Raw genomic sequence first — 14,194 nt, 5'->3', positions numbered from 1 at the left:
AGTGAAGAAAAATAACAACAAAAAACCCCCCAAATTACCATTAATCATTAAAAAAAAATCCTTCCAGTTTATCTACTTCACCTCACTTGGAAGTAGTAAAAGCTGTTCTCAAATCTATCATTTAAAATAGACTCTAACTACTCGAAGATTATTTTAATCAACCTTATTGTCATCAGAAAATGATGAAAGTGTCTCATTCAGCCGGACGCTCTCAAACTCTTGATTGCTGGCATACACTCGAAAGACCTTGAAGTGAGAGGACAAAACTCCAACAAAGGGCTCTAAATGTTGTTTGAAAGCTGCCAGAGTAATTCTTTTATCAACATGCACCATCAACCCTAAGCACAAAAAAAAAACCAAAACAGGAACAAAAATGTAAAAGAAACCTCTGAGTATAAATAAAACAGATCATATACTTTTTATTACACTGTATGCAGTAAAGAGTACCCCTTTTCAGTTAGACTTTAGCTAATATACCACACTGAATGGACAAAAAACATGGACACAGGGTTTCTGATAGGTTTTATCTGACAGCTTAAAATGTTCTGAGCTATTTAAGTGCTTGTTTCTTTGTTTAGGTTGCCAAACTCAAAAACAAGCTTCTAGGAATTCTTTTAAAATATATACACTTCTAGCTCTACACAGTAATAGTGTAAGCTCTGGTGGTTCCAATCCCACCTCTTCTGCTTACTTACTATATGGGACACGGCGCCAGCCTCCGTACCTCCATTTCCTCACTAGAAAAATGGAGATGATAATAGTGCCCACCTGAGTGTTGCAATGTGACTTCAGTGAGGTAATTCATTTATCATGCTTTCAGCACAGTGCCAAATACAGCGTGATTGCCTCAAAAACTGTTAGTAATATTATTTAATTTTCAGATTTTCACTAGAAAAAAAGTCACGACTGGCATACTAAGATGTCTGATTTATCATGTGGTTGGGCTGTAATTAACAGGAACTGTATTTAAATGGATCAGAAACTCTTACCTCTTCCCGGCTTAAATTTAAGCTCTCTTGGTATTGTAATAGGATTATCTTTGATGAGCTTCGTTTTTCCCTAATGCTTATTATTTTAATCTTTTGTCCCTAATTTTATAAGCCACTCATGAGGACACATCTGGAATGCTTCTATTGACTGTGGTCTTCATATTGTAGAAGAAAGCAGAAACCAGACTCTCAGTTAATAAGGCAGTGCTGCCTCGCTGCCTCAGGCCACTGGACCTCCCTGGCTCTAAGGCTCCCTCCATGTTAGGTCTGGTTTTTCTGCTAAAGCTACATGGAAGGTAAAGGATGAGGCCTTAAAACACTCCTGGTAAACCAACATTCCCATGTCATATCAACACTTGGGTTGAATTTTTCTCAGATGACTTGTCAAATAAATTAATGTTCATTGTTTTCCTGGCTATAAAATATAGGCTCATTAATAGAAAATGTGACAAGAACAAATTAGAAGAAAGTATGAAGAGGGTGATGAGCTTTATTTACTATCTACCTTTTGAGTTTTGAGGCAGCATTTCTCTTAATTTGTTTAAAATGTCACTTTTTAAGCTTTAAGGAGTGCCCCTCTATGTCAATAATCCAGCTTATGGCAAACAAGCTTCTGTCTATGCTATCCAACGAGGTACTAAATTTCTTAACAGAAGGGTGTAATGCAAAAATTACCGGATTAGAAATGGAAAGCCTATGGCTAGATTTCAGTTTTGTCACTTTACTCTGATAAATGGCTGTAGGCAGGTCATCCAATCTCCCTCAACCTGTTTTCCCACGTGATCATAACATATAACATTGTTGTGACAAATGTAGTAAAAGTCTTTTCTAAAGCATTACTCAAATACAAGCTTTTATTGCCATTTTGGTTTCTTTCCTAACCTCTAGTAGTGCTGTGTCATAGGAAGACAAAAATGTTTGCTGGTTACTGATATCGTTTAATATGGTGATTATGACCAACTGGTTCTGGAATTTGATGGCCTGGCCTGAATGAATTCCTGGCTCCTCTTCATATATTAGATTTGTGACTCTGACTTCTTAACTTTTCTGTACTTCAATTACCTTTACTATAAAATACAGGTAATAGTATTTAAACCTCAAAGTTATGTTCTGGGGTCAATACATGTAAAATGTTTAGCATAGCTTTGGCAAAGAGTGTTAATTTATTGGCTATAATTACTTTGTAGTTTTAGAGATTACTATTGTACCATTTTTCCTATCTACCTCTTCAGACTGAAGAGTCTATGTCTTCACAGAACAACCTTAAAATGTATTTATGATTTTCCTTTTTGGTCCTTTCTCTTACGTATTTCTTTTATTCTTTTTCCTTTTCTTTTCTTTTCTTTTTTTTTTGGGGGGGGGACAGGGTCTCGCTCTGTTGCCCAGGCTGGAGTGCAGTGGTACGATCATAGCTCACTGCAGCCTCTCTCCTCTGGGCTCAAGTGATCCTTCCACCTCAGCCTCCGAAGTAGCTAGAACTACAGGCACATGACCACGCTGGCTAATTAAAAAAATTTTTTTTGTAGAGATGGGGTCTTACTATGTTGCTCAGGCTGGTTTCTAACTCCTGGGTTCAAGCAGTTCCCCTCACGGCCTCCCAAAGTGCAGGGACTACAGGTGTGAGGCACTGTAACTGACCCTTACGAATTTCTTAAGTGAAGCGGTAACCAAAATTGTACGGAGAAATTTCAGTGTAAATGCACTACCATCTTTATTTATCTTGGCTTTCCTGTTTATACCCAAGTGCCTATGAACTATAACTAGTCCTACTAGGACAGTGTTCTCAGAGAATGATCTGTAATTATTCTCTGAAACAACTCTTGGATTATAACTGCTATCTTAAGGACCATCATTTTAAGTACAGATTATTGCCTGAGTGAACTGCGTATACTGTGCATAGTGCATCATTCTTTAAATATCAAATTCATTGTCTACCTGTTCTTCCTTGCCATTTTATCACTCTGAAGAATGTGTATTACTACTCATCATCCCCATGTTTTCCCAGGGACCTTCTTTCAGATGACTGAGGAGCTGCAATGAATCAGTCTTAGCACAGACTCAAGAAAAACCTGGTTGCTAGCTGCTATCCCTACTCCCCTATCTCCAAACCAGTTTTCTAAACATGAGAAGACATTTTCCGGGGTCACATTTTCTTTTCAAACAAGACCTTTTCTATGGCTTCTAAAAGCCCAAATACATAAGTTGTAGTGAATGGTTTCTCTTCTTCACCATGTTTACTATTTCAATGAACACTAGGAAATTAGCCTGGTATGAATTTCCAAATATGGCCAACATTCTCCATTTAAAAGATTTTATTAACTGTTCTAAGATGGAAATGAGACTTTTCAAACTATAATTCTAAGTATTCCCATCGAATCAAATTTTTCCTACGGTTGAGACTATCATCCAGTCAAATTTTTAGCACATCATTCTAAAACAAACCAATTAAAAGAAATTTCCAACCTTCTACTAAAGAGGAACTACTTTTAATTTTTCTAATGTCCTTGATGGGTTGAGTATGGTAAAAAAGCAGAGCAGTTACTACTATTTTTCCTTTACTAAGATGCAAGGAAAGAACAGTGGTAGCAGCTATGGGGTGGTGGCTAATGATATCTGAGTCTCATCCTGGCAGTGTGAGCGACTAGCTATGTGACTGCAGGCAAATTACTTAATCTGTTTGACCAGTTTCGTCATCAGTGAAAACGGTCTAACAATATCAATTTCACACAGCTGTTAAAAAAACTAATGAAACAATGTAAGCTAATGAGCCTTATGAGGTACATACTCCATAGAAATTTAAAACATTATTACAATACGATTTCCCTCTATTTTGTTCTGCCAATCCACGTTTTCATACTTGAGTTTCTGCAAGATATATGTATGAATGTTGTATGATTCCAGTGTTATTTAACCCAACTAGTTAAAAACACAAATTTAAATACTTGTATTATTTCATAATTTCTACTACTTTGTTTTAGCAGATAGAATTTTGAGACTACAAGCATCATAGCACTTAATTTTCAGAGTGGGTGACTGTGCACCTCCTCCCCATGAGATGAAGCATAAGGCTGCATCTCAGTTGTCTCTGCTTCTAACAGTTACATAGGGCCTGGCATCTAGTATGGATTTAGAAAATGTTACTTGGATGGGTGGATGACTGGATGGATAAAGAGTGGGGCTCCCTTCCAAAGGTAAAAGGAACAATTAGATGCCTTCAATTCTAGTAATGGTCCCATTTACTAGCTATATATGCACTTTTGGACAAGTCATTCATCCTCTATGAGCTTTGGCTTTCTTACCTGTCACATCAGGATACTAATGTTTGCTTTACAAAGTTTGGAGAAGCTTTAAATGAGAACAAATAAGCATTCTGAAAACTAAAATATAAAAATATAAGGAGTAATATTAATATTTGCTTTGCTAGAACTAATGCAAAGTACTTACTTTTCCAGCTACTTCTCCTTTACACTTGAAGAAAGATTTTGTATCTTAAACCTGGTTGCCTTGCTAATTATTTGGCTGGCCTCAGTCTAAGGTTTTATAAAGGTTCTTTTATTTTAAGTCTCATACTATGCTGGAATGTTTTTGTTGTTACTGCTTATGCCAAATGCCCAAACTCTCAGATCTTTTCCCTCTTTCTGAGATTATGCATTGGAATTTCTAGTAACTCCTTGCTTTGGAGTTACTTCAAAGTAACAGAAAAAATTTTAAGAGCGCTTTTTCTTTCTCTGACTTTCCCAGTTGATTAAGGACTTTTTAAGGGGGTATGGCAAGGGAATTGTTGTTTGCATTGGAAATGGAGAGAGGGAAGAGCATGTAGAAATAAAACATTTTCCTGGGCATTGAATATCAAATTTTCTAAAGTTTCTCAGCTTTTAAAAAATATTATTTACTTTTTAATATATTCCCTAATTTTTTACTTAGTAATTATATCATAATTCCTTCCTAACATTGAATACTATTTTTTTTTACTTCTTATCTCAGAGTTCTGATATAATTACCATCTAATTTACTGCACAGGTCTAAGAACAGTGTTCATTACAACTGCGTCAATAATCTTATAATCCAGAAAGTTACAAATGATCTTAGAACTAAGTACCTAACACTTAACTGAAAATTTAAATAAACTGAGAGAAAAACTGATGCTGTTTCAAGGACCGTTTTTCTTTTGAAGTACATACATTTATGTCCTTCCCCAGAACCTTCATCTGCAGCATAAGGTTCAGCTTTGAAATACATGTACTGCATTTCTCCCCTACTCTTGCCACTCTCATCATATTCACTATCAGTTCCAGAGTCTTCTTCTGCTGTATCCCATGTTTCTTTTTTCCCTTCATTTGCTTTCGTTCTTCTACTACTTGTGATACTGTGAGAGTCAAGTCCATTAGCCAAAGGGATCTGAGCATTGTCTGCATTGCACAAAGTATCACTGCTATGACTGGAGCTAAGAATATCACTGTCCACTGAACTTGTACTCCTGTCATTATTCACATCTGAGTCTGATCGTTCTTCAGACTGAAAATTTTCTGGATCAGAAGTCTGAATATGCTGTTCAAGTTCTCTATTATCCACTGATGCTGAAGAGTCCCTCTCATTGAGAGGTGATTCGATGTTTTCAAAGTCACTTGTCTCAGTACTTTTGCTGCTGTCCCCATTATCTCCATCCTGCTGTTGCTGCAGTGACAAGCTTTTGAGTTTTTCAGTGCTTTCTTCTAGAATAGCTTCCACAGACTTTAGGCTTCCTACAGGTCCTTTGACTCTTTCACAGTCATCATCCACATTACCAGAATCGCCTCCAGCTTTCTGGTATGCTGTCCTTTTGGAATAAGATACTGGGGATTGTTCAGGTAGCAAAACAAATAATCTGATTGTATTTGCATGCCGATCCAGGAGTTTCCATAAATGAGAGTCTGCAAAGGCCATCTGGTAATCCAAAGTCTCGGAGCTTTCAACAAACACCTACATAGTAAGTCAGAGTTTTATTATATATTAATTTTAGTGACATGCTCATTCATCATCATCATTATATTGCATCAATACAACACAATACACAGTTATGTTATAACATGTGTGATGATATAGTTTCTGAAGGACTCTATTGTTTTGGAGACTGAATAAAATGAACATTAGGCTCAAATGTCTTTGTAACTAGCCATAAAACTACACTAAGATAGACGGTATGGACATACACATACACACAAACATCTTGTTTATTGGGTTGTCCAATTTCAGAAAGTTGTGTATTATATATCCTTCTCTTTAGGAAATTAATACTCTGGTTTTTCTTTAGATTGTAGAAATCTTTCACCTTTAGGAAATCCAAGTTTAGCCTGAACTACAGACACAGGAACATGTGTAAAGACACCTTGTGAATATAACACCAAAATCCAGATCATGGAAAAATTTAATGGGCAAATGACTTGGCTTTGTAACAAACTGCAAGGAAGCAAACAAAAAAGACACAGGAAAATTTACAGAAAAAAATTTTCTAAGACAATCAGAGAAATTTGAACACTGACTAGATATTGACTGATATTAAGGTATTTCTTAGGTATATAATGTAATTGTCATTTTTTTAAAAGAGTTCTCTTCATTTAGATATATATGTTCATATTATCTATAGATGAAATGATATGATCCTGAGGAAGTTTATCAAATAATCTGGGCGAAGTAGGTGGTTAAATTATAGATGAAACGAGATGATCACTGTGGAAGCTGAGAGATGGGGATGTGTGGGGGTTCACTCTATTTTCCCTATTTTCTCTACTTTTGTTTACGTTTGAAATTTTCCATAATAAATCTTTTTTTAAAATGAAATTCGTACTTGGCATAAATTTGGCAATTATAAATAGCATGTTGGGTTTTGCATAAAAGGATAACACTATCATTATCCTATTCAGTAAATGTTACAAATTGAAACCAGTACGCTAACCGTTTAAGGAAAAAGAAAAGTTTCCCTACTGCACTTCTTACCCTAAAGTAATGTACTGGAGGGGATTAGAAATTTTAATGTTTTACATATACACACACATATACACGTACATCCCCTCCCCCACCACACAAAAGTTTTAGAAGTGTAGGTGAATAAAAATTACATATTAGTAATAAAATACTAAAAAAGTTAAATGAGATAAAAGACTAGACTGTACTAAGATGAATGAGACTAGAGTGATAAAAACACATATGAAAAATGATAAATGATCAAACACATAATAATAGCAAGACAAAAGAAGAGGATTAACATGAACTTTCTCATTTCCAACAGAGAAAAATAAGTAGGCAAAAGGAATAATGTTGGGTGAACTCAAGATTATAATTTTCTCTATACCAGGTATGCCTCTGACCCTCACCATGAAGCACTGCTTTATGGGACAAGCTCAAGAATAAACACAATCCAGGGGACATAATCACTGTGGGAAGAAATGGTTATGAAGTCTTCACCAAAGAGGTAGGACTAATCTGGAGACTGAAAAAAAAAAAATGCAGGGAGAGGAGGAAGAACACTCCAGGTGGGAGTGCACATGAACAAAGGCAAAGAAGAGGAGAACCAGTAGGACTGATTCACAGGACAGAAGGGAGCCTGACCTGACCTGACTACAAAGGAAGGTAATTACTGGGTTGAGAATTTTAAATTAAGTTCCAGACAGATGTTGAACAGCTGTGGAGGCCAGGCTTATAATATTGAACCTAATTTCATTTACTACTACCAGCATAGAAAATAGTAATGAAAAAGTAAATGACATACCTTGTTACTTCTAAAAAATCCTTCAGCTTTCAGGGTTTTACTGGAGACACTGAGAAGACGCAAATCATTGTAGCAGCGTTCCAGCACTATTCTCATTGTTTCAGCAGGTAAATGGATGGCCTATAATGAAAGCAATTTAATAAAAAGTACTCTTTCAAAAATAATTCTGCTTGACTTAAAAATATGGGAAAGCAAGACACTGCTGAGTTCTTCTTAAAAGCAGCAGAGAGAAACATAATTTTAGTAGAGGTTTTAAAATTTTTGAATAATTGAAGGGAAAAATTACTTATAGCCATAAATTATACTGCAAATCAGGAGAACAAAGTACCATTTATAAATGTATGCTCTGAAACTATTTTAAAGGTAAGGATTTTTTCCTAGAATCTCTATTGCTCTCAAACTTGCCAAGTAAATGAGTGATCTGATTCCAAAGAAACTGCGTAACTGACTTTTTGACTGCTGATATCAAAATGTTGAACTTCTTGGCTTTTGACAGGCCTTTCTATAGTCTGTGAATAGTTTTTAATACTTTTATTAAAGCAATAAGCAATTTTCCTTTGTGTAAAATGAGAAGATTAGTAGGGAAAATTTTAAGTTTTTCTGAAAGTCCACATCTTTAATTTTTGGAGTCATTTTATAAATTGACATGAAAGCAGCAGATAAAAATACTTTACATTTAAAAAACACAATTTCTTTTCAATGCAACTAAGGTCATCAGTTATAAATACCTAATTCTTAAGCAGGCTGGTTAAAAATACTGTATTTGTTTACATGATGTTTTGTGACTGCCTTTATTCTCTATAGACATATTTTTCTCAGTAAGATTATTAACTTCTTGGGGAAGAAACTACTGTGTCTCTTTCTTTTGTATTATGTGTGAGTGCTTATTAAACTAATTTTTTTTACATTTGTCATTCATATTTTAAAAATGTAATATACAGTATATTATACCAACATAGTATGCATTTACAAGCAATTTAATCATAAAATATAATTTCACAAAATGATTTGTTTCTTGGTTATTACTTTAGCAAAATTGTTAGAAGTCATATACAGAAGTCAAAATATAGACTTTTTTTTAGAACATAATAACCACCAACTCTTACATAATGCCTTACAATTTTTTTCCTCAGAGCATTTATTTATTTTTCATTAATGTTCACTACAACTCTGCTAAACAGGTATTTACAACCCCAGATAATGAGATGAAAGACAAGACTACCATAAGATGAATGACTGAAAACTGGACTCAACTTGTAATTATGGAACAATTTCCACTACACCAGGGAATATTAACCTACGGTTCAAGAACCCTGCAAAATCTGCCGTTTGTATGCTCAGGGTTCTGCAGAGTACAGGACCCTTGTAAGGATGATAATCATTTGTCTGGTGTGGACTAATCCTTTTGCCCCCCAAAATTTGAATGTTTTCATTGTTATATTTTTCCAGCTCAAAAAATCGGAATGAGCCTATGTTCTTTATCACTAGCTCACATAATGGCACCAGTATTTAATTCATCACCTTCCCTGTCAAGTCTACAGCCTCACCTTCCTCCTCTATTTCTATTAATGTATCCCTACTTTTCTGGTTACCCAAGTTTGAAACCCCTGGCTCAGGTCATCGGTGCATCTGCTTTACCCCAACATTTAACAATTACAAGTCCTACAGATTCTATCTCTCTTGGAATCCATGCCTTCTCTCATTTCCAGTCATACAACTGCACTTGAATTATTTCAACAGCTTCCTCCTCTCCATTCCTGACTCCCCTCAAGGCATGTGGAACGCTAGTCTAGTGTCACCAGACACTAAATGCAGCATTGCCGCACTTAAAAATGACGAAAACAAAAACTCGACTTATTGCCTACGCCAAAAAGGAGCCCAAACTTTCGTGTTTACTGTTTAAAGCTCTTCATGAAATAAACTGTACTTACATTTCCAATCCTGTATTTTATGATAATCCAGCCAACACATATAAGTTGTTATATGTACTTGCCTTACACTTTCTTACCTCCACACTTTACTCAATCTGTTTCTTTTAACTACAGTTGTCTCCTAACTACAAATATTAATTAGCTCCTGGAGGTAAAGCATGTATCTTATTCATAACTGTCACATAGTGTGTCTTGTACATAGCAGGCTCTCAAAAATTTATTTACAGACCCCTTTTAAAACTTACCTTTGAAATCAGTTGTTTGAATTCTGTAACTGTCTGATTTAAGTAAGCACGAACAGTTATAGGAGCAGCTACAGATTCTGCCTTTAGATCAACAACATGAACTTTCACCATCACTTCTGTCACATTTGAAGACATAAACACAGAATTGGAGGTTATTTTTTAATGTATTTCACATGAGTAATGCATTCTTAATGTGTTTCTAACAGGTGACAAATCCAAACTTCCAAGTACAGATGAAAACAACACTGAATAAATATAAATCACCAGTTACTGCAAAACAAATATTAAAGGTGACACAGCACTCCTGCTTGCTTTTGAACAAACCCCTTATTAAGCCACCTTGTTCATCATCAAAGACTTATCCTCAAAATAATATTTCCTATATCCCAAGGAAAATTCCACACAAAAACTGTTCTGATTATGCCTTTGTTTTCTCACTTAAATCTTTTATATTGAAATTTAATCCCATTCTCTTCTGTTTTCAGAAGGTTATGTTTACAATTAAACTCTTAATCACTTGAAAAATAAATGATCTTCAAACATTGTACTTAATACACAGTTATTCTGTATCTGTTTTAACCTCATGTTTTATGTCAATCCTCAGTTTTTTCCCTACGTTGTTAATCTAAATTTGACAAAATATTCTGCTAAGATCTTGATTATTAATGAATAAAGACTACTTTATAAGTCTTACAATCCACACTTGCATTTAGAGTTCTCTTTCAAATAAGTGGTATTACTGCTGACTCATGTTATATCCTAATCATTCTTTTTCTTGTCTAGCAAAAAAAAAAAAAAAGCAAGGAAATGTCCTTAAGGGACTCTTTATAGATAGGGTAGAGTCTTAGAAGTCGAAGTAGACATCATAAGGTTTCCAGAAATAAAATTTTCCCACTTAAGAGCCGTAGACTCCTTGAAAGAATACTACATCTAACCTACTCTGTAAACAGAGGCCTTCATTTAAAAAGGAGATATACAGGATCCACAGAAGAACATTATTGTAAAAGGGCAGAATAAAGTTTTGTAAGTTCAACTTTTAGGGAAAAAACACAGAGAACCTAATTCTCACTAACCACTGATGCAAAGGAGTTAGGGCCAAGACAAAACAGTATGGATTTTGTAAAATTATATAAACATTCTGCTTTTCTTCTATTTGTTACAATTTACATATGGTAATTATAGAAAACTCTGGACAAAAACAGACCATGTAACTGTCTATAGGGAAACTGTCTCTGGGAAAACTAGGGGCATGATATTTTGGTTTTCCTAAGCAGTCTCAAAGAAAAAAAAATAACAAACTCAATGTGCTGAGTGAATGTGATAGATTTAATGAAGAAAGAAAAGATGAAGTCCCTGGGACCTGTAGAAATAGAGAGGATGACGAAAAATTGTAAATGCTGACAGTGATGGGATAATGAATCCACCCTTCCAAAGAAGACCTGAAAAACAGCCTCTACTTCTGAGACTTTATGGGAATATACTTTTTTGGACCAAGGTCTTCTCCATAAAGAGAAAGAAAGAGAAAGAGAGATCTTCCTAAGAGAGCAATTGATAACTTTAGGGATTGACAGCATCCAGAATGATTCAGTACCGCCCACTGGAGAAGAAAAAACCCACTGAAGACCGTAAGCTAGAAGCTTTGTTGTTTTTTGTTGTTTTTAAAATTATGTACACAACTCTTTGCAAGTAATCTAGAACTTAATTCCAAGCTGTTGCTGAGTACTTCTCAACCTGTCAAAATTATTCTACATTTTAAGACCATATACAAAATTTAAATTATGTTCATTTCTACAATAAAAAAAAAAACTTTCTCATGAAAATTCTAAGTACAGAACAACTAAAAATAGTGTAAAATTGCTCACCTCCAGGTTTATAAGATTGGAAAACCTGATCAGGCTTTCTCGTCTCCAACAGCAGATCAAACATATATGTTGACTTGACGCCACCTAGTAGAAGCCCCATTGGTGTATCTTCTTCTCCTTCATATGACCGTTCTAGATAATCATGAAACTCATCATATTTAACAAGGCGACAGCAATCCAGGGGTATTACCTCTTCTAAATCCATCATCTAAAAGAAAGTAATCCCCCAGAAAGAAAAAATATATATACATATATATTTATATATATACATATATAAATACACAGTGTTTTAGTCTGTTGGGGAATAACATTACAATAGGCCCTAACAAAATCCACACATTTATGATTTGCATCAAAGACATCAAAGTTACAGGCACAACTTAAATGTTATTTTTAAATAATTATGTTTCATTATCCCTCCAATCATATAAAGCATGTACTAAATACATTTTTTATTTTTTAAAAAGTTAACATCATAAACTTTAGGTGTAGAAACAAAATCAATGTATTGTAACTATTGTTCATAATCAACTAATCTGGAAACACAGAGGAAAACAACCAAACAGCCAACTAGAATATGCACCTTTTGTTTTCTTAATCCAATCTGGAGTAGAATTGATAATTCATGTAACTAGTAACAATCTAAGTACAGGAGGACAGCATGTCTCATAAAGCCATCACAAAGGGTTTGGCTTCTACGATATCCCCTTTCAATATTAGCCTCCAGAATACTTAAAGCTCATGGTATAGGAATTTCTATCATAACATTTCCTTATAGCTTATGTCACCAATAGATGACATACCCTGGTTGCAACAACTCTCTTGATAGGAAATAAGCCTCCTAGAGAAACACAGTAGGATTGCTTAGAAGTATTCAATGTTCATTTAAGGTTGTGATTATGAGTTTCAAGAAGGACTTGTAAGCCTCAGCGTATCCCCATTGATCTCTACTCCTCCCCAACCCCCATCCCCAACAATGAAGCTCTATTTTTGGCATATAAGATTGACTTATTTCTCTTTTCTGTTTGTTTGTTTCTTTTTATTTGCGAACTTTTACTTCCTATTTTCAAGACTAATGCTTGCAGTCCACCATTATATTTAAAGAATTTTTACCAAAATGAAGCAAATCCAGAGCCATCCATCCATCTTAATGTTTGTTCATTCATTTATCCATTCAACATACCCAACCAATTTTGACTATTCTATATACCAGGGAAGAGTACTAAAAATAAAACTGTGAGCAAAACCAGAATGGTTTTTGCACTTGTATGTGCTTATAGTTTAGTGAGGGGCAGTAATATTAATTAAAATAGTCAAACAATTAAATGTAAAATTTCAATACTGATAAGTGCTATGCAGGACCAGATGTATAATATAAGTGATTCTCAAACTTGACTATGCCTAAGAATCACCTGAGATATGTGTTAAAATGCCTATTTCCAGGCTCCAACAGAGAAATTCTGATTCATCTGCAGCAATTAGCATTTTTAATAAGAATGTGACTCTGGTGCAGATTGCACTGGATCACACTTTCAGAAACAATGTCAGCTATCTTGTGTGTTATTTTTAGTTATGTTATTGGTTCCACATATAATTATACACAAAATGATGTAGTATGCAATTTTTTCTCTAGGTAATGACTGTTTAATTTCAGTCATTCTGTTACTGCTTATATGGAAAGGGGAAAACTTATATTTGTTAAGTATCATAAATGACATTTAGAATGATCTGGTGAAACAGCAGTGACCCCATTTGCCTTTCAAACCTCATTAATAACTTTCCACTACTCTTAGAGAACAAAACGTAAACTTCTATTTCACAAAATCTCTAATTTCATTTTATGGTACTCTGTGCTCACTCAAAACAATCTAAACATATGGCTCCTTTCTTCAGTTTCTTAAACGTGCCAAGCATCTCCTCACCTCAGCACTTTTGCACATGCTGTTCACTCTACTTCGAATATTCTTCCTTGAGCATGGGCCAGTGATGGAATGGGTAACGCATCTGACTATGGACCAGTATATTCTTCCTCAACTTTTTGCATCGCTGTCTCCCTTTCTCATGGTTAAAGTTTCAAAATAAATTTTCTCAATTTACTACTAATGTATTTATAGCATCTAAATAATAAAATAATTGCAAACTGTGATGTTTAAGTACGTTTTGTCTGTTCTTTCCAGTAGATTGTAAACTCCATGAAGGCAGTGACCACGCCTTGTTCACTTTGGTATCTCTAACACCTCATGTTATCTTATTCACTCTAATATCTCTAATGTTTCATATAGTAAACACTCATGAAATGTATGTTAAATGAATAGAAAGAGCAAATAAACATTCTGTTCCTAATTTTAATTCTGGGATCTAGAAACTTCAAATGGCTTCCAGAGGGAGAAAATTTTCAAAATCAACTGACTATGCTCCAAAG

General features: G+C 34.7%; 1 protein-coding gene across 18 annotated transcripts in view; it reads right to left on the bottom strand.

Annotated features, from left to right (window-relative positions):
- Positions 1-14,194, bottom strand: part of USP47 (ubiquitin specific peptidase 47) — a 119,916-nt gene that overhangs the window by 13,605 nt on the left and 92,117 nt on the right. For 15 of the 18 annotated variants that reach the window (NM_001372093.1, NM_001372094.1, NM_001372100.1 and 12 more), the window contains 5 exons: positions 11,773-11,980; positions 9,911-10,026; positions 7,735-7,854; positions 5,171-5,948; positions 163-338 (listed from right to left, as the gene is read on the bottom strand). In NM_001372093.1, the coding sequence (NP_001359022.1) occupies positions 163-338; positions 5,171-5,948; positions 7,735-7,854; positions 9,911-10,026; positions 11,773-11,980 (1,398 nt within the window). The remainder of the gene's footprint in view (positions 1-162; positions 339-5,170; positions 5,949-7,734; positions 7,855-9,910; positions 10,027-11,772; positions 11,981-14,194) is intronic. The other 3 variants (NM_001372095.1, NM_001372091.1, NM_001372099.1) reach the window with 1 other exon arrangement.

This window comes from Homo sapiens, chromosome 11 (assembly GCF_000001405.40).
Source record: "Homo sapiens chromosome 11, GRCh38.p14 Primary Assembly".
In the NCBI taxonomy this organism is placed as follows: Eukaryota; Metazoa; Chordata; class Mammalia; order Primates; family Hominidae; genus Homo; species Homo sapiens.
The sequence above is the reverse complement of the archived record's forward strand: the minus strand, read 5'-3'. Positions and strand labels throughout refer to the sequence as shown.